The sequence below is a fragment of the Homo sapiens genome, chromosome 5 (assembly GCF_000001405.40).
Source record: "Homo sapiens chromosome 5, GRCh38.p14 Primary Assembly".
NCBI classification, from domain to species: domain Eukaryota; kingdom Metazoa; phylum Chordata; class Mammalia; order Primates; family Hominidae; genus Homo; species Homo sapiens.
This window is the reverse complement of record NC_000005.10, coordinates 24,821,640-24,849,413: the sequence shown is the minus strand read 5'-3', so window position 1 is coordinate 24,849,413 and position 27,774 is coordinate 24,821,640. Positions and strand designations below refer to the sequence as shown.

Genomic DNA, 27,774 nt, shown 5'->3' with positions numbered 1-27,774 from the left:
CTTAAAATTCCAGAAGATGTTAATTATCTCTGCATGAGCAGTTCCTCTCTCCAGTAAACTGTGCTTCACAGAAAAAAAAAAGTGATTTCTCATGGTTCTTCCATACTTTTCATCATGTTTCATGCAATTCAATAAACCTTGACTAACACCATGGGACTCATACAAAGTGCCATTATTGATGCTGGAAGTGCTCTCAAGAAGCAGAGAAAAGTCATGATGTTACAAGAAAAAGTCAAATTGCATGATGTGTATCATAGATAGAGGTTTGCAGCTGTAGTTGCCCACCATTTCATGATAAATGAATCCAGCATAAGGACCATTATTTACAAAAAGAAAAAAAATGTATGAAGAGATGGTGCAGCTATGCCAGCAGGCACAAAAATCTTGCACTTTTTGTGAAATACCTTTTTATCTCTTATTGAAAATTCAGCTTTTATGTAAGTAAAAGATTGCTGTAAGAAAGGCAAACCTATAGACTCTCATATAATTCAAGGAAAAGCAGTCAATAAATGACAACTTAAAGCAACAGGAAAGTAAAGGATCTAAAGCTAGAGAATTTAATACCAGCAAAGGATGGTTTGATAATTTTAGAAAGAGTTTTGGTATGTCAAGATAGATCTCGAGGTTTGGCTGGAAAACTGTCAGGATTTCTACCTGAACCAATTTTAAGTGCAAACAAAAGTGCCCTATTATGAAAAAAAAATTCCACCAAGGACGTATATTAGTAAAGAGATGCAAACACTAGAATTTAAGGCAGGAAGGGATAGGCTAACTGCACTGTGTTTTGCAAATGCAGACAGGTTCATGATTAGGACTGCTCTCATCTACAAATGTGCTGATCCCCAAGTCTTGAAGGGAAAAGATCAACACCAGCTGCCAGATTTTTGGTCATATAACAAGAAGGCCTGCACAATCAGAATCCTTTTTCTGAACTGAAGTACCTTGCCAGTAAGGGATGACCTTTTAAAGTTACTTTGGTATTTGACTATGCTTCTGGTTACCCAGAACTCCATGAGTTCAACACCAAAGAATCAAAGTGGTCTACTTTCCCCCAAACACAATGTCTCCAATTTAGCCTCTTGATCAGGAGGTCTCATTAAACACAGAATTCTATGGAAAATATTGTCAATACTATGGAAGAGAACCCTGTGAGACAGAACATCATAAAATTCTGGAAAGATCACATAATTGAAGATATCATTGGGTTTTATAGAAAACGCCGTGAAATCCATCAGGGCTAAAACAATAAATTCCTGCTGAAGAAAACTAGGTCCAGGTACTGTGCATGAATTCACAGGACTTACGACAGAGACAATCAACAAAATCATGAAATAGACTGTGGGTAAGGCAAAAAAGTTGGTAATGAAGGGTTTCAAGATATGAATCTTAGAGAAACTAAAGAGTTAATAGACACCACAACAAAAGAATTGACAGAAGGCAATTTGACAGAGGTGAGTGCTTCTAAGCCAGTGCCAGAGGATGAGAAAGAGGACATAGGAGAAACAATGCCAGAAAACAAATTCATATTAGACAATCTAACGTAAGGTTTCTGACTATTCAAGACTGCTTTTGACTTCTTTTATGTCATGGATCCTTTTATGATACAGTCACTGAAACTAAAGGAAATGGTGGAAGAATAATTGGTACTGTATAGAACTGTATAGAAACATTTTTAGAGAAATAAAAAAGCCAAAATCTCAGACAGAAATTATGAAGTATTTTCAAAAAATGTTCCTGCTTCTCCTGCCTCTCCTCCGTTTCCACCTCTTCCACCACTACCACTCCTGAGACAGTAAGGCGCAGCCCTCCTCACCCTCTTCTACATAAGGCTACTGAACTTAATGATCAGGATGAAGAATTTTATGATGATCCACTTCCACTTAAAAATAGTAAATATAGCCAGGCATGGTGGTTCATGCCTGTAATCCCAGCACTTTTGGAGGCCGAGGTGGGTGGATCACGAGGTCAGGAGATCTAGACCATCCTGGCTAACACAGTGAAACCCGTTCTCTACTAAAAATACAAAAAATTAGCCGAGCGTGGTGGCGGGCACCTATAGTCCCAGCTACTGGGGAGGCTGAGGCAGGAGAATGGTGTGAACCCAGGAGGCAGAGCTTTCAGTGAGCCAAGATTGCGCCACTGCACTCCAGCCTGGGAGACAGAGCGAGACTCTGTCTCAAAGAAAAATAGTAAATATATATATTCACTTCCTTATAATTTTCTTAATTTATTGTAATAATAGAGTATATAATAAATATAACATACAAACTATATGTTACTCAACTAATTATGTTATAATTAAGACTTCTGGTCAACAGTGGGCTGTCAGTAGTTAAGTTTTGGGAGAATCAAAAGTTATGTGCAAATTTTTATCTGTGCACCCCTAACCCCCACATTATTCAAGGGTCAAGTGAATTATATATACAGGTGACCTTTGAAAAAGACAGGCTTGAACTGTAAGCCTCCACGTATAAGCAGATTTTTTTTTTCCAATTGGATGTAGACTGTATTCTTAGGATGCAAAACCCATCTATATGGAGAAAGAAATTTTCACATATGTGGGATCCAATGGGCCGACTGCAGGACTTGAGTATGCATGGATTTCAGTATACATCTGAGTGGGATATCTGTAATTAATCCCCTTCATATACAGAGGGGTAACTGTGTATAGTTTTTCTTCTGTTTTCTATTTATCATCATATGAAAAATATGTTTTGGTCAATAATGAATTGCATATATGATGGTGGTCCCATAAGATTATAATACCATATTTTTATTGCATCTTTTCTGTGTTTAGATATACAAATATCACTGTGTTCCAGTTGCCTACAGTATTCAGTATGGTAACACGCTGTACCAGTTTGTAGCCTAAGAGCAATAGACTATACCATATATCCTGGTGAGTGGTAGGCTATACCATCTGGTTTGTGTAAGCACATTCTGTGATGTTTGCACAATAACAAATTTGCCTAACAATGTATTTCTCAGAATGTATCCTGGTCATTCAGCTATGCCTGAAGAGCCCTAATGGATACAGAAATTATAAGATGAGAACAGAACATCATCTTGAGCCATAAGGTAATTAAGTGCTCAAAGAATGATGGGGACATATCAAAAGACACAAAACCCGGCTCAAAGGTGTTCCCACTGTCTGCCAAATCTGGGACAATATAAGCAGCAAAATAACTAATGATAGTTATCAATTACAATCAATTGAGTAAATTGATAAGACCACTTACATAAATAAATAAAGTAAAAGCTTGATGATTACATAGTGGAGAAGCCTTACAAATACATCTCTAATCAAGTGAAGTGCACATCACCAAAAAGAGGACATATTTGAATGTATTACTTCATAGAATACACTGAAATCATACCTTCATTTTTCTTGAATTTTATTGTATGGAAATTAGACAAGCCCAAATAAAGGAAAGTCTACAAAACGTCTGGTCACTAACCCTCAAAAGAGTCAAGATCCTGAAAGTCGAGGAAAGATTGAGGAAATATTCCAGATAGAAACTTAAAAATATGTAATAGGTGATTCTGATTTGAATCCATCTTCTGAAATCACAAGTACCAGTGCTTAAATAGATCTGTAGATTAAGTGGTTGCATTACTCTGCCTGGACTGCCAAAACAGAATACTTGGGTGACTGAAACATAGAAATTTATTTTCTCACAGTTTTGGAAGCTAGAAGACCAAGCTGCCATGATGTTAGTTTCCAGTAAGATCCCTTTTCCTGGCTTGTTGACAGACACTTTCTCCCTGTGCCTCAAAGGGCCTTTCCTCTATCAGCAGGCACTCCTAGTGTCTCTTCCTCTGTTAAAAACACCAATTCTATTTGATCAGTTCCACACCCTTTTGATTCACTGAAGCTTAATGATCTCCCTAAAGGCTCTATTTCTAAATACAGTCACATTGAGGGTTAGGGCTTTAAATGATAAATGTGGGGTGAACGTAGTTCACTCTATAACATTGGTAGAGATGTAGTCATGTTAATTTCTTAATTTTGATGTTTATAGTGTTGTTCTATAGGAGAATGTTTTTGTTATAGAAGTTATACCTTAAGTACTTCAGTGGTGATGGGACATCATGTAGACAACTTATCCTCTATTCCAGAAAAATGTTATTTATATAATATTTGGATATTTATGGTAAGTGTGAGAGTTTTTCAAAATTAAAACAAAATAAAATAAAACAAAATTCTAATCATGAAAAACAATGAAATAATTTCAAATTGAGGAACCTTCTACAAAACAGCGAGCCTCTTTACTTCATAAACATTAATGTCCTGAAAAACATGACAACAAGATACAAATGCGTGAGCCTGACTAGAAAAGCAAAGCAGGGTGTGCCATAAAGGAAAGCACTGCAAAAAGTGAGCATAATTTTAACGTGGATAACAACTTCTAACAACGTGAAGTTTTCTAAACTTGATCATTGCTTTGTGGTTATGTAAGATAATGTCCTTTTTTTAGAGAAAGGTATGCACAAGTATTTAAGATCATAGTGCATGATATCTACAACTTGCCATCTTTTTCAGAAAAGATTAATAAACAGACAAACTATTGGCAAAATACAGAAAAATATGTGAATTTAAACACAGAAATTATAAAAGTTATTTTAAATATTTTATAATTTTTATAAAGATCTGATTTTTATTTCAAAATAAATGCATAATTAAAAAATAATACTCTCTAGAAAATAGAAATGAAAGGCAATTTCCTACTCACAACAGCAATCTAAGAACAGATTTAATAAGAAATTTTTAGGACTTATATAAAGAGACCTAAAAAGACTTTTCTGGGAGATATAATAGTCTGAAAAAAGTAGAGAAAGCATTAAACCATATTAGTAATTACCAAAAAATATGAAAATAGATATGAGATTGTTCTGCCCACCAATTTGAAAACTAAATTGCAAAATAATATTTATAATACACGTACGGTAAGTGTATGGAGAAATGAGCTTTCTTATGCCCTACTTAAGGAATTTCATTTCATATTATCTCTCTTTTAAACAACTCCATAACAGTACCAAAATCCTCCAGATAGTCCACACCCTTTGGAGGGGTGTGAAGTCACTCACCTGTTTTCTTGTAGATCTATTCCTCTGTAATTACCCCCACTTGACTCAGAATAGGTTGAACCAAGGAGAAACACTGATGGGAGATTTCAGACAGACGAAGAAAGTAGTGAGAGTGTTTCTACTTCTATCTCTGGCCAGAAGTCTCTGTAGTTTCAAATCATCATTCTGCCCAGGCTGTGATCCCACCTGCCGCCCAGAAGCCAGCTCTAATTCTTGGCTGATAATATGGCTATCTCCTATTTTGTCCTTTAAACCTGAGTGAGCATATCAGCTTCAAGTTTTGTTAATTTCTGAGTTGCCTCATTACCCCATTTGTCTTTCAAACATGTTCTTGAAAGTAGATTTGTAAGTAGTTTATCTTTTTAAATGCTCTCTGTTGCACCACCTGGAATAAATTTTGTTTTACTGATGGGACTTTGATTGATATGAGTGTAAATCCTCCTGTGTATCCCAAAGACATACTACAATAAACATCTGAGTTCAAGATTGCTCATCTTGGTTCTATGAAATAGCAAAATGGAGGAAGCATTTAAATATCTAAAGATAGTTTATTGGTTAAACTTATAGTTCATTCTTATTAGGTAGCCATTATTTAGTTACCAAAAATTCTGTCTTTAAGTTCTTATGTTTCAGAAAGTTGTTCAGCCCATAAAATTTAGTGAAAAAAAGTATACGACTTTTGTAATATCCTGAAATGAGCAAGTAGAATAAACTTTTTATCACTGATTTTCTAATTGCTGAGATTGCAGGTTATCACTTTTTTTTGCATTTCTCATATTTTCAAAAGAATATATTTAATTCTATATATTTAAACAATAACTATTACTTAGAGAAAAAAGTTTCTAGGTGAGCATGCAAGAAGTCATTTGTACTTCTGCTGCAAATGTCTCTCTTTGCATTCTTTTAAGGAGCTCAATAATATTGCATTAAAGTGTAATCAACATTGAAGATACATCCGCATCAAACATGCTGTCTTTCATTCCTGACACATTAAAGTGATTACAGTCTATTCTCATTATTCATAGACTGCTTGTTTGCAAATTTGCCTACGCAGTGAAATATATTTAGAACCCCAAATCAAATCAATACTCATGATGCCTTCTCCATCATCCGAGGACATGTGCAAATCAGTGAAAATTTTGAGTCGTCCGATGCACATGTTTTTAGCTGAGATCAAACAAGGCCATGCTCTGCCTTCTTATCTCACCTCTCAGGCTGTAAACAAGCGTCCTAGTCTCCTTAGTGCCATGATCTTTTTTTTTTTTTCATTTTTGTTGGCAATTTCACTGTTTAAAATGGCCCCTAAACAGTACTGAAGTGCTGCCTAGATTACCTAAGTGCAAGATAATCTAGTGTGTCTAAGTGTGTCTTCCAAAGGAAATATGTGTGTTAGATAAGCTTCATTTGGTCATGAGTTATAGTGCTGTTGGTTGTGAGTTCAATGTTAGTAAGTCAACAACGTAGATTAAATAAGGCATCTTTAAACAGGCACACACATAAAACAACATTACATATTGACTGGTTGATGAAAATGTGACCAGATGCTCTCAGGAACCTAGCCCCGTGTTTCTCCCAGGAGCAAAGGTTCGGTATTTGCCAATTCAGTGTTTGTGGGTAATTTATAGAGCATAACTACCACAAATAACAAGAATCAACTGTTTTGGACCTAGTTTTCTAAATAGTTTCTATATGTTGTCTTAGCACTTTACTGCTTGCTCACAAGTGTTTCAGGAAAATGTCATTTATTTACAATATTATCTGATGCACACTCTGCAGGGACCTAATGTTTTAGGTGAGCTCTCAGTAGGTACCTTCATGTGGATCCAAGAAGATTCATAGTCTCTGCATTTTCTGCCTCAATCTATCTGTGTTTCTTTGGCTTCATCTGTATTACGTGTTGAGATTCCATGTTGGTTCTTATTAATGTGATTTCTGCCAACAAAATAAAAAAGGAAAAGAAAATCACAGATATTAAGGCATTTTACAGTCAACGATGATGATGATATTTGAATTATTAATATAGTTACTGTTATTATTTTAAACATAGAGAACTTGAAAATAGTGTCTTACAGGAAAATCCTAGAAGATAAGTAATTACAACTATATAATAGAAAAAGAAAGCCTTTTGCTGCATTGAATTTTCAAGTCAATTGCCTAATTTCTTCAGAATTAACATCTATTAATTCAATATTTTAATGAAATAACTAGGTTGTGTAGGTTGTAAGCAAGAACACTGTCAAGGGCAATGAAGTAAGAAGTGATTATAACAATTTTCATCCCTAGAGGAGGTGCTTGGCAACTATTAGGAAAGGAGAGGGATGACCAAGGATTGGGAGATGTAAAGGTCACTCAGAGGTGGCTTCAAGCCAGAATAATTGACGTGTGGGGGTGGGGGTGTTTGACGTGAGAGGGGGTCAAGATTGACAATAAGAGACATCAGAGACATTACTAAGAGAGAAGAAACACACCTGATCTGGGTGGAAAAGTATTGTTCTTATTTTCTTTTTATATGTGTGCAATTAGTTGGTGAAATATATAAACTGAGAGATGTTCAGCAAGCAATCTGAGGCAGCGAAATTTGAGGTAGAAAAAGAAGACAATGATGGACATATTTTAGGAGATTTTCATGGTTTAGTAATACTACTCATATATGTTGAGAAGTGTCAGTTAAGTTTTATAATTGGGCTAAAATGTTTAAGGAAAGAAGTTTTACTCTGAAGATGTAAAGAAAACATAACTGGTGATTAAATGTCCACAAAGGCAGCACGCCATATTTGAGCTCCCTCCTGAGTAAGAAAAGAAAATAACACAGTTTCAGTGTGAAATCCCCTATGCCTGATTCCTGATCGCTCTGCTAAATGTTGTACAGGGTAAATGCACATCACGGTTTCTCTCTTTTTAACAACAACAACAAAAAAATTTGATGATACTATGAATAAAGGACAAATACTAAGAAGATCTTTACAGACTAAAATTTGATTCCAAAATAAATCTCTAAATGTTACTCTCCTCTCTCTCTTCACACCATAGTTAGCAAACTAATATCTAAACAAATATAGAGCAAACTAAATATGTCTATTAAACTTTGTTTAACATATATATGTCAGATTAAATTGTAGTTTCAAAGCTATAGAAATAAATAATATAGGCTCTGTCCACAAAAATCTCTGTCTAGTGGGAAAGTGGACAATAAACCAAAGATTACAGCACAGCAGGACAGTGCAAATACTATGGAAAAATTTTGCTCAAAATATGTGATAATAAAGGGAAGGATTGCCTAACTGTTGAACCTGAGGGATGTGGGGGTAGTGAATAGTTACTATTAGACATATGATAGCCATTTGCAATTATTTGGAAATTACTGAAACTTTAGACACATGATTTTTGTGTGTCCTAGACCCATTAAATGAAAATTTATCTGGGGAGGAGTATAAGTGTACACACATACCCCACACACACTCACACGCTTTAGTCAAACCTTCAATCTGATGATCATGCTGACATATAAAATTCAAGTTGCTTGACACCTGTGTCATAGCTGTTGGAAGTTGCCACTGACATAGATCAAATCTTTCTTCAATGAAAAGCTATCTTTATTGAAGATATTTCAATGAAAGGCACATAATATTTTGACTCCTAATGAAACTGACCTGGAGACATTGAAAAGGAGGGCATAATAGTGGGATTGGATTTAAGTAGTGAGATTAGAGAACTCACAGAAGATGACGTTTGAGTTAAATGTGATGTCACAAATGACAACACGTTGGGAAGGGTTTAAAATATAATTTTGGTCACATTCTTTAGCTCAGATTGAATTTTATAAAAACCTGATCATCAATCCTCTAATTCATCCCGAGATGAAGAGAGGCCTAGACTTCTCTTCATTACTCTAGTTATTCAGAGTTTTTTTAAAGTAGCCCTATGAGAGTTGCAACAAGTAAATTCTCCTGGAGTTTTCGTGATAAAGAGGGCATTTTTTCCACAAGCTGAGGACGGCTTCATAGAAGAGCAGATTTGAATGAAGACATACAAACTGATAGACATCTAAAAACAATATAGGGAAAAAATGCAACAAAGGTAGTATGTGTCTGATATTGACATTTATAATATCTAATACTTTAATGTTTCAATCCAACTTACAAGTTTATTATTTTCAGCTTTAGAAGCCACATGAATAAGAAAACAAAACACTAGAAACCAAAGACTTGCTGATCATTTGCCCTAAAATACCATCTTTGAGAAACTGCTTCCGAGAGACTTTGGCATTTCAAGTTAAGGTCTTATTTGGCAGCACGGCTCTCTTCTTTACATTGTTCCAGGAAAGTGTGGAGTTTAAGGAAATGGAATTTTTATACCCTTTTTATCCCCTTGGCTACTGATGCACTGATATTTTGGCACTCTCTGTGAGATCTCAGAGCTTTTCTGCAGTGCATTTTATTTTTAGAAAATTCTTTTAGCTCTATCTGCTTCTGTCATCTTTCACACAGGTGACAGACACACACACACATGCGTGCACGTGTGAGGAAAGTGGAGAAAATCCCTTTTTTAGATGTACTTTTAAGGAGTTACAGAGTTTTCTCTCCTATATGAAGCAAATTGAGGTTGAAAATCTTGTTCAAAGTTTCTGTAAAGCATGTAGTCTAAAAAACTTCATTATTGATGTATTCAGAATGTATCATTACATGTTTGCTGTATTATTTAAGTAATAATTCCTCAAAGGAACTTATTAATAATAACAATAATTACTATTCTTATACAATTTCAGCTATCAGGATTTATTCAATCATTTTTTATTTAAAACTGCCTCTTATGATATAATTTTATAGATATAGTAACAATCTTATCAGAGCAAAAAACTATCAATGAATTGTATGTAAGGTTTACACCCACTCTTTATAATGCCTAACTATTTATTAGCCCCAGACAGCATCTTATTAGAAGAAAGACTCTCTTAACAAAACTTGAAAGTAGTTTAAAATTATACTTCAAAGTGTCCTCCACTTTTTCCTAAAAATGAAACGTAGAAGGGAAAGTGGAAAGGTTTAGCATTGGTAGAAATCCCCTATTCCCACAGCTTTCAGGATAATAAGAATTCTGATCCTAGATACAGAGAGAGTGCTCTAACATGATTTTTAGATAATAAAAATGAATTAATAAATATGCTATGCAGAAGGAAAATTTCAAAGAATAAGCTTCTACTCCATCAAAACTGTGGGCTCATGCCCATTGAATCATAATTTCTGAGTACTGAGGCAATTCTTTCATTAATGAAACAGTTGTCAGTTTCTGTCCAATAATACCCTGTGTGCACAGCAAGCCAATGTCTGGCACAAAATATAATATTATTTCTCAATTTTATATTTTCATCTATTGACAACTGCTGAAAGAGCAAACAAATAAACCACAAGCGTTCTTGGAGCTTTCATGGAGTTTCTATCAGCCTTTTACTTTAGGCAAATCTCTGATGAAGGTTAGTCAAGCCTAAATTGTTAAATACATTTTATCGAATGAACATTTAAGTCCTATACTAATGCACAGGACATTTTCTTGACAGACCAAAGTTTCAAATTAAGCAGTATGCTGTATTAAATAACAAGGTAAAAATGCACATATATACCTTGAAAGTAATTTTGCTTTTATGTAACCTGGATGGATGAAACTTGGCCATAGAAAAAAGATCTGAACATCTGAACATTTCTTTATATTGATTGTAAATGTGATAACTAATTTTATTGTGTCAACTTGACTGGAATAGGAGATGTTCAGGTATCTGGATCAGGATTATTTCTGGGTATGTCTGTGAGGGTGTTTCCTGATGAGATTAGCAATGAATCAGTGGAGTCAGTAATGCAGATTTCCCTTCCCCTTGTGAGGATGCCACCAGGATGGGTGAGCATCAACCAATTGGTTGAGAGCCTGAATAGAACACAAGGAAGAAGGAAAAATTCATCCCCTTTTTGCTTCCCCCCTGCCCACTTGAGGTGGGACACTTCATCTCATTTTCTCCAGTTATCAGACTGGTATTATACCATCTCCTCTGGTTCTCAGGCCTTCAAAATTGGACTGATTTACACCACCAGCTTTCCTGGGTCTCCAGCCTGCAGATGGGAGATTGTGAAACTTCTCAGTCTGTGTAATCACATGAGCCAATTCCTCATAATAAATCACCTTTTATACATACACATATACACACACACATATCCTAATGGTTCTGTTTCTCTGGAGAACCCTGATTAATGCAATACATTTTTATTATCACTAATGAAACACGTCATGTGAAATGTATCTCAGAGTATACCAAATGTTTAAAAAAAAATGGCCCAACATAAAGCATTACCTGCTTAAGACAGGATACTTTTTGTAAAGGGGTTTGATTTTAGATGATTAAGCATAAAAGTAGTTTAAAAAATATTGGGGCGCTCAAGATACCTTTGGGATGACTGCCAGGTGGTGCAAATATAATCATTCAGGAGCAGTGCTGAGAATAACAAGCAGATCTGCTTAAAAAGAAAGCTCCACAACTGCCATGGCCACCGTAGATCCGCCACGTGCTCTGCTACCAGGCTCTTGACTTGCCCTGCAATCCATGATATTAACAGCAGCCACATCACTGAGAACCCATTGATGCAGCCATTTTTTCTTTGTAATCCACAAGCTTCTACAGTCACCTTTATGAATAAAGTTGATTTACATGGATGTACCTTCCCTTAGGTGCTCAAGTTTGAACCGAATTTTCACTGGGCTGAATCTGATTGGCAAAACCTAGGCAATATGCCTGTGGCCAGGATATAAAAGTGCCAATGGAAGAACATTTTGCAGCAGTTGCTGGGGGTCTACTTTAGGGAGAAAGTACTTATATGGTGTATAACTCCCAAATGTAATAGAGGAATTCCAAATTTATTGGAATAAATAAAAAGTGTAATGGAAGACTGTTACATTTGCCCAACTAATTAGTTTTAATTTAAAGTTGTATGTGTCAGGTCAATATAATCATCCATAATAACTAAGTTAATACTACTACTATTGCTACCACTGCTACTACTACTATTGCTAATAATAATTGCATTTGTTTTCTTTGCAGTTAATATTATTTACATTAATTTTCTTTTCTTCCTTTCTCTTCTTCCTTTTCCCCCCCACAACCCTGGGAGATAAACCTTGGAATCAAGGATAGAGTTCAGATTTCATTTCCGCTACCACAGCAGTTTTCCAGAGCTGTGCCATATACCATGAGGTACTCAAGATGTTTGCAGTTTCAGGGAGACCTGGAGATCAAAACTATTTCCACAATGATAGTAAACTGATATATTTGCCTTTTTTACTGTGTTGAAATTTAAACTCATGGTACAAAACGAGTGGTGGATAAAACCATTGATGCTTTCACACCAATCAAGACAAGCGAAAGCAGACCGTACTACTAAACTTTTTATAACTTCCCTCTACACAATCAGAGGGAGAAACCACAACAGCAGCAACTTATTGCCAAAGCAGTAAAATATGATTAATTTTCATAAACAATGGCCTTTGAGTATGAGTGTATGTACTTTTGATATTCTGTGTGATAAAATGTAAAATTCTCATGAAGAACTTCTGCTGTCTACTAAAGTATGGTGGTTGATGGTTGTCTTGAAGGAAAGTACATCTGTGATTGAGTGGCAAGCTGAGCCAGTTGATTTTTTTCCATTCAACAGAAGTTTTATTTCAAAGATTGGCTTACAATCTTACTCTTGTCATTCAGGCTTGGGCATTTAGCAGACATTTTCTAGAAAAATCAACAAAGTAAGCATGACACTTCAAAGAACATAACTAAAAGTATTTGTTGGGATTCATAAAAATTGAGCTTTTTGTGAAAAGTGAAATTTTAGAAAATGTATGTCAATGACTAAGCTTGACAGCCTTCCAACTCTTGGAGTCTTTTCTGACAAGGTCAGTAATTATATAAATGGATGCTATTTAAAAATATTTTATAATTAAATGTGCCAACATTTGAGAGATTTGCATAAATCAATAAAACAATATTTTCCAATTGAAAAATATACAGGGTTATAAAATCATAGGCTGGGAAAAGATCCAGTCAAATTCAAAATACACCAATGGATTTTAATGTACCAGATGATAAAAAGTTTACTGATACGGTTTCAGTTAACACATTGCAACTAACTTTTAATAGACTACACTTTGTGGAGTTTTGGTATAGTATAAAAGAAGAATATGCAATATTACCTAAATATATTATTGAGAGATTGCCTGCCATAAAAACAGCATGAGTTTGAGTGAGAAAAGTAATTCCATCAGCCTCCTCTTGTTCCCCAAAATGGCTAGCTACAGAGAGTTTGTCACTGAAGATTAAGCAAGTTTTTCCTCTTTTGAAATCTCCCCAAATCGCTTATCTACCCAATTGCAGCCAACCAAGTGAGAGAGCTGAGTATAAAGGGGTCACCAGAGAACCCCCAACCCACCTGTCCCTGGGATGAGTGCACACTGGGATGGAGCCTCGGGAAGTTTGTTCATTTGCAGTGGGGAGGAGCTTGGCCCCTCCTCTTCCTGGGTGGAACCTGGAATTCAATCTGTGAGGCAGGACGCACACTTGCAGGACCCTAGCTTTGCAGAGAGTCCTGTTTCCCTTTCTGTCCATTTTTGCTCAAAAATTCCATTTTTTTCAACCTTCAAAGTGTCTGCGAGTCTAATATCTCATGGCCATGTGACAAGAAACTGGCTCTTAGCTGAACTAAGGAAAAAGTCCTACGACACAAGGACACAAAAATGTACCTGAAGAACAATTAGAAAGTCTCCACCACTTTCAAAAATCCCGTAAGAGTGTTAAGAAAACTTGCTAATCAGAGTCTATCTATCTCAGGACTTACTCCTTTTCCTCTATAAAACCAAAACTTCCTTCAAATACCTTTGAATCCTGCTGAAAAGAGCATGGCCACAGATAGTTTCCTTTAAGGCTGCATGATCAGGAATAAGTAGCATTTACTAATTTTGTCTCAAATTTAATTTTATCTTTGACATTATTAAAATAATTATTCCTTTTCCTACTATATTTCTGTGTAAGCCTGATTTTTTATACTTTAACCAAAACAACATATTATAATAGGTTGAATGCAAAAGAGTTTTGAGAATTCAACTATTTCCTAATAAGCCAGATAGATTTTAAATCTGCAATAATGTAGAAAAATGCTACTCTTCTCACCAATTATTTTTTAGTTTAGAAATGTATTTTTAGAAAGATACGTTATTTAGGTTAACATGTAATGGGTTAATCTTGCTATTTTTAAATTATTCAATAAACTTTTAAATCTCAGTTTTAATTTCAAGTGTAGTAAATATTAAAAGATATAAGCCATAAAACAAAATTATTTGGGGTCTTCAATATTTTAAGGGTGCAGCGGTGTCCTGAAACAAAAACTTTGAGAATTTCTTTCCTAGCCTTTCATTATGAGTTCTAATTCCCATAAATACATGAGATTTCTTATATATAGCAATTATGATAAAAGTACTCAACATATTTTAAAAATCCTTGAATTCAGACTTTTGTCCCCATCATGCACTTGTCAATACAATGTGTACTGTTCACAGTATGTCAAATAGGAACAACACAGGATAGCTACATGTCAAAAAGTAAAATTGGTAACACTTGAAACATACAACTGGATAGATTTATAGTGTGCATTAGTCAATGTGCTCCAGAGAAACAGAACCAATAAGACATATGATTAGATAGATAGATGCCAGATAGATAGATAGATAGATAGATAGATAGATAGATAGATAGATAGATAGATAGATTAGATAGATAGATAGATGATAGAAAATAGATGCTTAGATGGTTGGTAGGTAGGTAGGTAGGTAGACAGATAGATGGAAATTTATTATGGGAATTGGCTCATGCAATTATGGATGCCGAGAAGTTCCACAGTTTGCCATCTGCAGGCTGGAGAACTAGGAAAACCTGTGGTATAATTGAGTTTGATACTGAAGGTCTGAGAACCAGGAGCACCAATGTTCCAGGACAGAAGAAGATGATTGTTCTAGCTCAAGAAGAGAGAGAGTGAATTTTTCCTTCCTCTGCCTTTTTGTTCTATTCAGGGACATGACAAAATGGGGGATGCCCACCCACATTGAGGAGCAAGACTTTTACTCAGTCTGTTGATTCAAATGATAATCTTTCCTGGAAACTCATTCAAAGACATACCAAAAATACAATTTTTCCAGCTATCTGGCTATTCCTTAACTCAGAGGCAAGTTGACACATACAATTACACATCACAGAGTGTATTCCATTCATTAATATTTTGTACATATTTAAATTATGGTGGTGCTGAATTTAATTTCAAATAATCAAAAGAAAAAAGAATAGGGAAAAAAGCAATATTGTTTTTCTAAAAAAATGATACTGTGCCTTTTCTGACACATTTTAGCAATTACCAAAACTTTTGTTCACATTTTGTTTTACTTTACAATTATATCTTCAGCTGTATGCCATGGAAATGTATTTCTTATTTACTTCACAAGAGTACTTTTATAATGGAACAATTAACAACACACAAATTGTTAATTCCTTGTTAGTTTGAAACCATCTGGTGTCAAATTCTATACACGAGGGTGGGATTTGAAACAGACATGCTTCCCGCAACATGTTCAGTGTTAATCACCAGTGAAACCTGATGAAAATAGTCTCTCTGTTTTTAGAAATGCTTCTATTGTTTTAGACTTAAAAAAAATGGTATTATGTTCATTTTACAAGAATTTATATTGAAATTTAATTAAATTGTTTTTGTCCAGGGCAATAATAACATCTGTGTCAGAAGTTTTACAAGGAATAATATATGAGATGCATCATATTTATCTATAATCACATGTAACATGATCTGATCTGTGGAATCAGTAGTGTCTTACAGTGTTTTAGAGTTTTTTTTTTACATTTAGGGAATATTTTATAAAGTATATTACATTGTATGCTCAGTGTGGCTAAAAATAAAATGGTAGAAGCATAAAAATACCCCAAATTCCAAGTTCCATTACTTACTATGTATTTAAGTATACATATAAAATATATCTGAATCTTGATACATCATAAAAGAAGATGTGGCATTTTTATCATGTCATCCCTCTTCAAATTTTATTATTCTATCTACATTTTCATTCACCTAAGGTATCATGCTGACCCACTTACTTATTCCTTAATGATTTCTGATTATTCATTGGTCCAGATATTTCAGACTTTCCCCATGAAAATGGTGGGAGGTTTGAACAATTTGGAAAATCACGACTGTCAGTAGAGAAGTAGCTGCTTTCTTCTGTCACAGGCACAATTTGACAAGCTTGCTTGGGTTTCTGGAAAAGACAGTGGTTTTAAAATTCACTTTAAAAGCAATTCTCTTACCTTCAACTCACTTAGGAACTAAAAATAAGAAAATATTATTTACAAGGAAATCCAGAAACATATTTTATTATAGAAATTTCTCTGCTATTTGCAGTATAAGATAAATGAAATAAAATGGCTGTTAAGATCAACCTACAAGTTTTTATATTACTAATCAAAGGGCAGTGTTGGCTGGCCATGGTGGCTCCTGCCTGTGATCCCAGCACTTTGAAAGGCAGAAGTGGGTAGATCAACTGAGGTTAGGAGTTCGAGACCAGTCTGCCCAGCATGGTGAAACCCCATCTCTACTAAAGGAGGCTGAGGCAGGAGAATTGCTTGACCCTGGGAGGCAGAGGCTGCAGTGAGCTGAGATCATGCCACTGTACTCCAGCCTGGGCAAAAGAGTGAGACTGTCTCAAAAAAAAAAAAAAAAAAAAAAAAAAAAAAAAAGGCAATGTTGTCAAATACGGCCCAGATTTTGAAATAAACTACTGACTTTCATTTCATGGTTTGGTGGGGTAAAGGCTGAAGCAGGGCCAACATGTGGGTTGGAAACTCTACTGATATTAGCAGTGATAAAATAGCCAGAAAAAAAAAAAACAACATATTGCCAAATTACACCCTGAAAACATATCTCGTATCTAGCTTACTACCTTGGCGGAATGAGGCCTGGAAATGACCTATCTGGAACCGCAAAACAAATCTTGCTAAAGGGAAGAGCTGTGCTAATACACATTGCCAAATGTTCAAAACGTCACTGCATGGGTGTGTCTCTTCTGACGTATACCTGCTCCTGCTGACACATCCAAGAACAGCCCTATGCCTGAAATATTTGTGCCATCTGATTCTCCCCAGTTAGATGCCCCTTCTACCCAAAGTCATCTGCATGGAGTCTGGACCTGCCATTTTCCTCTCCCCAACAAGTATGGATATTGAATTTCTTATTTCCCCTCCCTCCCCAGTATTGAATTACCAACCCCAAATCCTCCTGAAGAAAGTAGCAGAGAACACAGCAGGAGCTAGGAATGGACAGAGATCTGCAACGCCTACAGGAAAATGTTCTGTGTTTTTTCAGTTCTGCTTGTGTTTGAACAATTGTTCCTTCCTTTGAAAGCTTTGCCCAGTGTATTAGTTTTCTATCACAACTGTAAAAAAAACAACACATTTACTAGCTCATAATGTCATAAACTTTTACCTTACAGTTTTCTAGGTCACAAGTCTGTCACAGGTCTCATAGGAGTCCAATCAAGGCATCTGCACAGCTGCATTCTTTCCTGAGGTTGTAGGGAGAATCAATCTCCTTGCCTTTTCAACCTTCTAGAGGCCACCCACATTCATTGACTCTTAGCCATTTTCCTCCATCTTCAAAGCCAGCATGTTTGCATCTCAGATGATTTTTTTCATGGCCTCGTCTCCTTCTTATCATATCCAGGGAAGTTTCTTCAATTTCAAGGACCCACAAGTTTAGATTGTTATTACTTGGGAAATGCAACATGATGTCCTCATCTCAAAGTCCTTAACTTAATCAAATATGCAAAGTCCTTTTTGCTATCTGGGGTAACATATTCACAGATTCTGGGGATCAGGATTTGAATATCTTTGAAAAATCATTTTTTCTGCTCACCATTCCAGAGAAAAATCCTACTGTTTTTGTCCATGAAAATAAACTTTGTCTTACTTTATTTTCACAAAATGTCTGTGTTTGTGGATTTTCTTATAATGGCCATTAGCAAAAATAAACAATTACATTGTGATTGGTTGATTTTAAATATCTCCTTTTATAGTTCAGCTCAGCACTCAAGTTTCATTTTCCTTTGTAAGGCTTAATGCAAATGGCTATGAAACTTAAGACTATTAAGTTTGATGTGCACATTTTTAATTCCCTCAACTGTGATAATTTAATGATCTGCAGTCTGCATAATAAAGACTCCATCGCTCAGATACTCATGCACCGAAAATGCAAACCCAAACATTTACTAACAAAAACTTAAAGAAAATGTGATCTCTTCAGAGATTTTCTTACTCCACTTACTTTTTAATCAAAGAAGATAGATCAAAGATAGAGAGCACACTTCTCTATCAAAAATTGTACTTTGTTAATTTTTCATTGCTTGCCCCATCCCTGTTCCAAAATATATTTCATCCAGTCACATGTAAAATCCAAAAATCCTTTTATTCTCCATACTGGCAATAGTTATTTCTTTTCTTGTGGGGTGGGGGGAGAGGGGAGGGGGGAGGGATAGCATTAGAAGATATACCTAATGCTAAATGACAAGTTAATGGGTGCAGCACACCAGCATGGCACATGTATACATATGTAACTAACCTGCACATTGTGCACATGTACCCTAAAACTTAAAGTATAATAATAATAAAATAAAATAAAAAATAAAAAAAAATAATTAAAAAATAAATAAACAAATGTGATTGTGAAAGATCCTTTTGTTTTGAGAAAGATAAATTCTATTTTATTTAGAAAATTATTATGATTACATGATTTCCAATTTCTTGGAATAATCTTTTTAGAAAAGAAAATAATATTTAAATTTGCTCTTTTATAAGTACTATATAACAAAAAGGCACCTGAGTATTGTAATTACTTCACATAACATAAAAGATCTATGTATGATTGAGACTCCATGTTCAATTATTTTAAAATCAGGTAGTATTATGAAAGGGTAAGAACACTTCTCCTTTGAAGGATGTGCCTATTTAGAAAAAATAGCTTTCTACTCTGCTTTCTTTTAATATTGTTGGTTCATATCATAATGTACCTATGTAGGAAGATAGTATATCTCTTAAACAAAAGGATAAAAACATTTTGACAATGTTGGTCTGAACATTGTGTGATATTCTATTAAAAACAGAATAAATGGGCAAATAAATAGGTCATGATGGATACTGAGTTGTCTGAGTGTCTTGAAATTTATTCCACTTGTTTTATTTGCTTTTTAAATGATAGTACTATTATAAATTTTCTTTTTATTTTTCTTAAATACTGACAAATTATAATTGCCTATATTTATGGGGTACAAAGTGATGCTATAATATATGTATGCAATGCGGAATGACTGAGTAAGGAGGCTAAGGGCTGGGGCAAATGAGATCTTCTCAAAGAGTAGAATGTTTCAATTAGACAGGAAAAATAAATTATAATACTTGAGGTGATAGATACGTTAACTAGCTTTCTTTGTTTGCTTTTAAGGAACAAAAAGAAAGGTTAGAGTCCCATTGATGTTCATATAATCTGTAAAATGATATTTATAAGATAGCATCAAGAAAAGAACTTCTTACCAAGGACACAGGCCTTGTGAGAAAATAAATACCATAGAAAAAGTGCTGAAAAAGGTTAAGTCTTTGCCCCTGGCCACGTCCTAAATGGTATTGCCTAGGGTTTCTTCTAGGGTTTTTATGGTTTTACATCTTACATTTAAGCCTTTAATCCATCTTGAGTTAATTTTCATATAAAGAGTAAGGAAGTGGTCCAGTTTCAGTTTTCTGCATATGGTTAGCCAGTTTTGCCAACACCATTTATTAAATAGGGAATCCTTTGGCCATTGCTTGTTTTTATCAGGTTTGTCAAAGATCAGATGGTTGTAGATGTGTGGTGTTATTTCTGAGACCTCTGTTCTGTTCCAGAGGTCTATATACATGTTTTGGTACCAGTACCATGCTGTTTGGGTCACTGTAGCCTTGTAGTATAGTTTGAAGTCAGGTAGCATGATGCCTCCAGCTTTGTTCTTTTTGCTTAGGATTATCTTGGCTATACGGGCTCTTTTTTGGTTCCATATGAAATTTAAAGTACTTTTCTCTAATTCTGTGAAGAAAGTCCATGGTAGCTTGATGGGGATAGCATTGAATCTATAAATTATTTTGGGCAGTATGGCCATTTTCATGATATTGATTCTTCCTATCCATGAGCATGGAATGTTTTTCCATTTGTTTGTGTCCTCTCTTGTTTACTTGAGCAGTGGTTTGGAGCTCTCCTTGAAGAGGTCCTCCACATCCCTTGTAAGTTGGACTCCAATGTATTTTATTCTCTTTGTAGCAATTGTGAATCAAAGTTCACTCATGATTTCGCTCTCTGTTATCGGTGTATAAGAATACTTGTGATTTTTGCACATTGATTTTGTATCCTAAGACTTTGCTGAAGTTGCTTATCAGCTTAAGGAGATTTGGGGCTGAGACGATGGGGTTTTCTAAATGTATAATCATGTCATCACCAGAGACGATTTGACTTCCTCTCTTCCTATTTGAATACCCTTTATTTCTTTCTCTTGCCTGATTTCCTTGGCCAGAACTTCCAATACTATGTTGAATAGGAATGGTGAGAGAGGGCATCCTTGTCTTGTGCCGGTTTTCAAAGGGAATGATTCCAGCTTTTGCCCATTCAGTATGATATTGGCTGTGGGTTTGTCATAAATAGCTCTTATTATTTTGAGATATATTCCATCAATACCTAGTTTATTGAGAGTTTTTAGCATGAAGGGGTGTTGAACTTTATCGAAGGCCTTTTCTGCATCTATTGAAATAATCAAGTGTTTTTTGTCATTGGTTTTGTTTATGCGATTGATTATGTTTACTGATTTTAGTATATTGAACGAGCTTTGCATCCCGGGGATGAAGGCAACTTGATCACAGTGAATAAGAATTTTGATGTGCTGCTGGATTCAGTTTGCCAGTATTTTATTGGGGATTTTTGCATGGATGTTCATCAGGGATATTGGCCTGAAATTTTCTTGTCTGGTTGTGCCTCTGCCAGATTTTGGTATCAGGATGATGCTGGACTCATGAAATGAGTTAGGGAGGAGAATATCTTTTTCTATACTTTGGAATAGTTTCAGACGGAATGGTAGCAGCTCCTGTTTCTACCTCCAATAGAATTCGGTTGTGAATCTTTCTGGTCCTGGGCTTTTTTTGGTTGGTAGGCTATTTATTACTGCCTCAATTTCAGAACTTGTTATTGGTCTATGAATTTTTCCTGGTTTTGTCTTGGGAGGGTGTATGTGTCTAGGAATTTATTCATTTGTCTAAAACACCAAAAGCAATGGCAACAAAAGCCAAAATTGACAAATAAGATCTAACTAAACTAAAGAGCTCCTGCACAGCAAAAGAAACTATCACCAGGGTGAACAGGCAACCTACAGAATGGGAGAAAATTTTTGTAAGGTATCCATCTGACAATGGGCTAATATCCAGAATCTACAAAGAACTTAAACAAATTTGCAAGAAAAAATAATCATCAAAAAGTAGGCAAAGGATATGAACAGACACTTCTCAAAAGAAGACATTTGTGCGGCCAACAAATGTATATAAAAAAGCTCATCATCACTGGTCATTAGACTAATGCAAATCAAAACCACAGTGAGATACCATCTCACGCCAATTAGAATGGTGATCATTAAAAAGTCAGGAAACAACAGATGCTGGAGAGGATGTGGATAAATAGGAATGCTTTTACACTGTTGATGGGAGTGTAAATTAGCTCAACCATTGTGGAAGATAATGTAGTGATTCCTCAAGGATCTAGAACCAGAAATACCACTCGACCCAGCAATCCCATTACTGGGTATATACCCAAAATATTATAAATTATTCTACTATAAAAGAACATGCACACGTATGCTTATTGCAGCAGTGTTCACAATAGCAAAGACTTGGAGCCAACACAAATGCCCATCAATGATAGATTGGATAAAGAAAATGTGGCATATATACACCGTGGAATACTACGTAGCCATAAAAAAAGATGAGTTCATGTCCTTTCCAGGGAGATGGGTGAAGCTGGAAACCATAATTTTTAGCAAACTGACACAGGAACAGAAAACCAAACACCACATTTTCTCACTTATAAGTGGGAGTTGAACATGAGAACACATGGACACAGGGAGGAGAACATCACACACTGGGGCCTATTTAGGGGTGGGCTGTTAGGGGAGGGATAGCATTAGGAGAAATACCTAATGTAGATGATGGGTTGATGGGGGCAAGAAACCACCATGGCACGTGTATACCTATGTAACAAACCTGCACGTTCTGCACATATATCTCAGAACTTAAAGTATAATTTAAAAAAAAAAGAAAAAGGTTAAGTCTGCTAAAGGTTCTCACAACTTGCAGGCATAACCGTAAGAGATTTTCATAAAATTGAGATAAAGATAGAGATGATTATTTTAGAATGCAGTTTTCAAGTGTGCTGGTTTTCTTCTCAACCCAATTTCCTTTTCTCCCCCAAACTCAAAACAATCCAAGTGTTTAATACAAAATGTAAAATATCAACCCTGAGATTACCCACTTATACTTTCTATGAGAAATATCAAAAATTGTTCACAAAAATAGGGAGAATAAAAGCAATTCCAGTCACATTTTTGTAAAAGGTAGACACAGACAGAGCTGCATCTCTTCAAAGATGAACAAACTGATAGAAAAACAGAAACAAAATAAATCATACATAGTTCCTTTGCAAGTGCAGCAGAGAAAGAGGGGAAAAGGAAAATGTCAGACAGCATAGAGATGAATAGCATGTTGGATGCATTACAACAGACGTGAAATAAAATTGCTGGCTAACACTACACCTTCTCTCAGGAATTCTAAAAAAAAGTACTCTTTAAAACAAAGAATGATAAAGTAATAGAATGTGATGAAAATAGAATTTATGAAAAAAATTAAGATGGGAATGCTAATGTACAATTTGCAAATATGATCAGGAACAACAAGGGCAGAATTAAAACATCAAAAAAATTCACAGACATTTAGAACCTATTTAAGAAAAATCTCAGAAAATTTAGAGAAAAACACATATAATTAATGACATAAAAGCAACATTATAATTTTGCAATATAACCGATGGAAATCCAACATAGAGATTATTGGTGTTCCTAACCAAGAGAAATAACAATAAATCCAAATTTTAAGTAACCTTTTCTAAATTTAATGAGCCAAAAAGTACTCAATTTGTTCTGAAAAAAGCAAAAAGTAAAGAGAAAATATTTAAATGAAAATGATCGTTGGATAGATGATAGATAGATCGATTTTACTTGGTAACGTTATTGAACTTAAAGTTTAAAAAAACTTATACAAATTCAAAAGATAATTTCACAAAAATCTGGTAACCTACAAAGCAAAACATAAAGGCAAGGCTTCCCTCAGCCTTTTCCTTAGAAGTGTTAGATACAGAGGCCAAAGGAACAGAATCTGCAGATTTTTGAGGAAGTAAAGATTGTCATCAGTTAATTTTATACTGATGCAAGTTATTATTCCTGACTGCAGAAAATGGAAGCAAAAATTTGAATTGCTGTGATTCAAGGAAAAGTTGTGATTCCTAAAAAGCTAATTTAAAAAGTTAAGCCAGTCAACAAATAGCTGTATCTCAAAAATAAAAATATAAATGGTGAAATAATACAGAAAAAATAAATTTAGGGTAGAGCCAATTTAAATAATTTACAATGTTATATTTTCAAGCAGAATAATTTTTATAAGGATAAAAATTGAATTAACATTCATAGCCTAAAAGGTAAGACCAAGACTATGCCAAAAAAAAAAAAAAGAAAATATTTTGGGTGGGTGAGGCTGGAGAAGAAAGAGAGATAAGAAGAGTACGGAATATGTTTTCCTGTTTCATTTAAGAATGTCAATTAATAATTTTTTCCTGGACATGTAAAGTTTAAAAATAATTATAATTGTTGTACATGTATATCCACCCTTTTACTAGAAAACAGGCTTTATACTTCTTAAGTTGCAAAGAAAAAAATGAACTCTAGTAACATGAAACATATACAATATATATATACACATATACACACACACACACACACATACATATATGTATATGAAAAATATTCAGGAAACAAGAAATGTGGAGAATCAAATGTAATTTTTCTCCAAGATGGCAGATTAGATGCCTTTAGTCTGCATCAACCATTTGGAAATAGCAAGATAGTGCATAAAGATAAACTCTTTCGGCATTAATTCAAGAAGGAAAATGAGAATCCACTGAAACTATGAAGGATGTCCCAGGTCCAAGGGAGAAACATAGCCAGCAAACAGCCCCATAGTGGTGTCCAGCCAATAAAACAGTGAAGCCCCAGTGTATGAGAGAGGCAGAGAACCCCCCTCTATGACTTACCTTTCCACTGGAGATCTGAGCAACCCACGTCGAGGGACAGCACTTTGTTTCTCCCAAGTCCCAGAGCTATCTTGGGGAGAGTCTTGAATATTCTGAGATTGAAAGACACCTGGAAAAGCTGAAGTCATTTTTTCAGACCTGAGACCAAGATCAGAATGCCATTTTTAATCCAGGCACATACAAAATCAACTATTCTTTGGCAACCTGGCAGTGTGGCCACACAAGTACTTTAGTCTTGGGCCAGATATTGGAGTGCTTGCTCTGGAGTAGGTTAGAGACTTCCACAGCTCCAACTGTGGAAGGTGCCTCAGCAGTAGATGCTGGAATTGTGCTCTTTCCCATCACAATCCTGGGGCAAGAGGAGAGCTGCTATAGCTACAGTTTCTCCTGGATGATGAGACTTGCACCCAGGGCCAGTGTGGCAATCTGGAACTGGTCTGTGTGTGTCATTACTGGGTGCCCTACCTTGCTCCCCTGAAGTCAAGGTACAGCAGGGCCCTCTCTGTTCCATTCCCAGGCAGTAATCCAGGCAGCTGGAGAATCTGCTTGCCTGTAGCAGAAGCCCAAGCTGCCCCACCCTTCCTGGACATAGATCATGGTGTAGCCAGGCTCTCTCTGCTCCATGCCTAGGGAGGTCTCCAGTCATTCAGGGCACCCTCTCACTTGATTTGTCAGCCTGAGAAGGCCCATCATCCTATGCAAAGAACTTGGTGCAGGGGGGCTGTTTCTGCTGCATACCCAGGCAGATCTCCAGTCATCTGGAGCATCCACTCTACTGGATTAGCAGTTTAGGCTGCCTGTCATTCCCATGCAGATAACTTGGGGCCAATGAGGTCTCCTACCTCCATAGCTAGGTACACCTTTGTGTGCTCGATGGCTACCCACTGGATGCTGTCATGGTGCTGGTGCTTGTGCCTGCCATTAAGGGACCTGTAGGCAGACTTGCCCAGTCCAGCCCTGAGCATTGTGGCCCCTGCCTCCCTGGGGCTGAGTGGGGAGATCAGAACACTGTGCACTGCATGAGTCAGCAGCCCATTGCCTGAGGCAACAGAGAGCTTCCTCCAGTAAACAAAGATCAAGTATATACTGAGATGCATTGGCTACAGCTGGCTCTTACCTGTAAGATACATCTACCAGCTTGTAACTTGAACTGCACACCTCAATATAAAATCTGCTGACAGAAGTGCATAGGGCTATAGAAGCAAAGCCAAAAGACCCTACCCAGCATTCTCTACAGTCAAACACACATCCCCAGTGGGAGGGGGAAGAGAAAGGGAAAAAAATACAAAAATATTATAGGGAAAGAAAGGAAATGAAAAAATTCTACCTCAAAAAATAATTAGATCAATTACAAATCCTAGTGTTACCTAATTAGAAAGGAACCAGTGCAAGAATTCTGGCACCATGAAAAACTTGAATATAGTGACATCACCGAAGGATCACAGTAGCTCTCTAGCAATAGTCCCCAGCCAAAATGGAAACTCAGAAATGGCAGATAAAAAATCCAAAGCATGGATTGTAGGGAAGCTCAAAGAGATACAGGACAAGTTTGTAAATCACCACAAATAAACTTCTAAGGTAGGCCGGGCACGGCGGCTCACACCTGTAATCCCAGCACTTTGGGAGGCCGAGGTAGGCAGATCACCTGAGATTGGGAGTTCGCGACCAGCCTGACCAACATGGAGACACCCTGTCTCTACGAAAAATAAAAAATTAGCTGGGTATGGTGGCGCATGCCTGTAATCCCAGCTACTAGAGGGCTGAGGCAGGAGAATCACTTGAACCTGGGCGGCAGAGGTTGTGGTGAGCCAAGATGGCGCCACTGCACTCCAGCCTGGGCAACAAGAGTGAAACTGCATCTCAAAAAAAAAAAAAAAAAAGAAAAAGAAAAGAAAAAAGAAAGAAAACCTCAATAAATGTTTAAAAAATCAAAATCATACCAATCATACCCTTGGACCACAGTGGAATAAAAAGAAAAATAAATACCAGAAAGATTTCTCAAAACCACACAATTTCATGAAAATTAAACAACTTACCCATTGATGACTTTTGAGAAACAATGGCCTTCAGAAAGAAATTTTTCAAATCTTTAAAAAAGTAAAAACAGAGACACGGCATACTAGATTCTCTGGGATACAGTAAAGGCAGTGTTAACAGGAAAGCTTATAGTGCTAAAAATACCCACCTTAAAAAGTTAGAGAGATCTCAAACTAACAATGTAATATCACACCTAGAGGAACTAGATAAACAAGAACAAACTAACCCCACAGCTAGCAGAAGAAAATAAATAACTATATTGGGAGCGGAAGTGAATGGAATTGAGACCCCAAAATCCATACAAAGAATCAATGAAACCAAAAGTTGATTCACTGAAAATATAATCAAGATCAATGGACCACCAGCTAAATTAACAGATTAAAAAAGAGAAAATCCAAATAAGCATGATCAGATATAACAATGATGACACTGCAACCAATCGCACAGAAATACAAAAGATCCTTTAAGACTATTATGAATGACTCGATACACACAAACTATAAAATCTAGAGGAAATGAATTTCTGGAAACACACAATCTCCCAAGATTGAATCAAGAAGAAATTGAAACTCTGAATAGGCCAATATTGAGTACTGAAATTGAATCCATAATATAAATACCTATTAGCCAAAAAAAGTCCCAGACCAGATGGATTCACAGACAAATTCTACCAGATGTACAAAGAAGAGCTGGTACCAATTCTACTGAAACTTTTCTAAAACATCAAAGAGGAGGGATTTCTCTCTAACTCATTCTACAAAGCCAGCATCAGTCTGCCACTGAAGTTTGCAGACACAAATGAAAAGGAACACTAAAGGCTATTATCCTTAAAGAACATAGATGCAAAAATCTTCAACAAAATACTTGCAAACTGAATCCAACAGCCTATCAAAAAGTTAATTCACCACAATCAAGTTGGCTTTATTCCTGAGATGTAGGGTTGGTTCAATGTACACAAATCAATAAGTAGCCAAAGCAATGTTAAACAAAAGTATGAAGCTGGAGGCATCACATTACCCAACTTCAAACTATACTATAAGGCTACAGTAACCAAAACAGAATGGTACTGGTTAAAACAAGCAAACAAACAAAAGGAAAACAGATACATGGACCAATGGAACAAGTTAGAGAACACAGAAACAAAGCCATACAATGA

At 35.8% G+C, this 27,774-nt stretch overlaps 1 long non-coding RNA gene across 1 annotated transcript; it reads left to right on the top strand.

The window, feature by feature from the left end:
* Positions 1-8,830: 8,830 nt before the first annotated feature.
* On the top strand, positions 8,831-14,134 carry LINC02239 (long intergenic non-protein coding RNA 2239). The gene is made up of 3 exons (NR_037896.1): positions 8,831-9,165; positions 10,476-10,558; positions 12,263-14,134. It is a non-coding gene; the product is annotated as a long intergenic non-protein coding RNA 2239 (long non-coding RNA).
* The last annotated feature ends 13,640 nt before the right edge of the window (positions 14,135-27,774 follow it).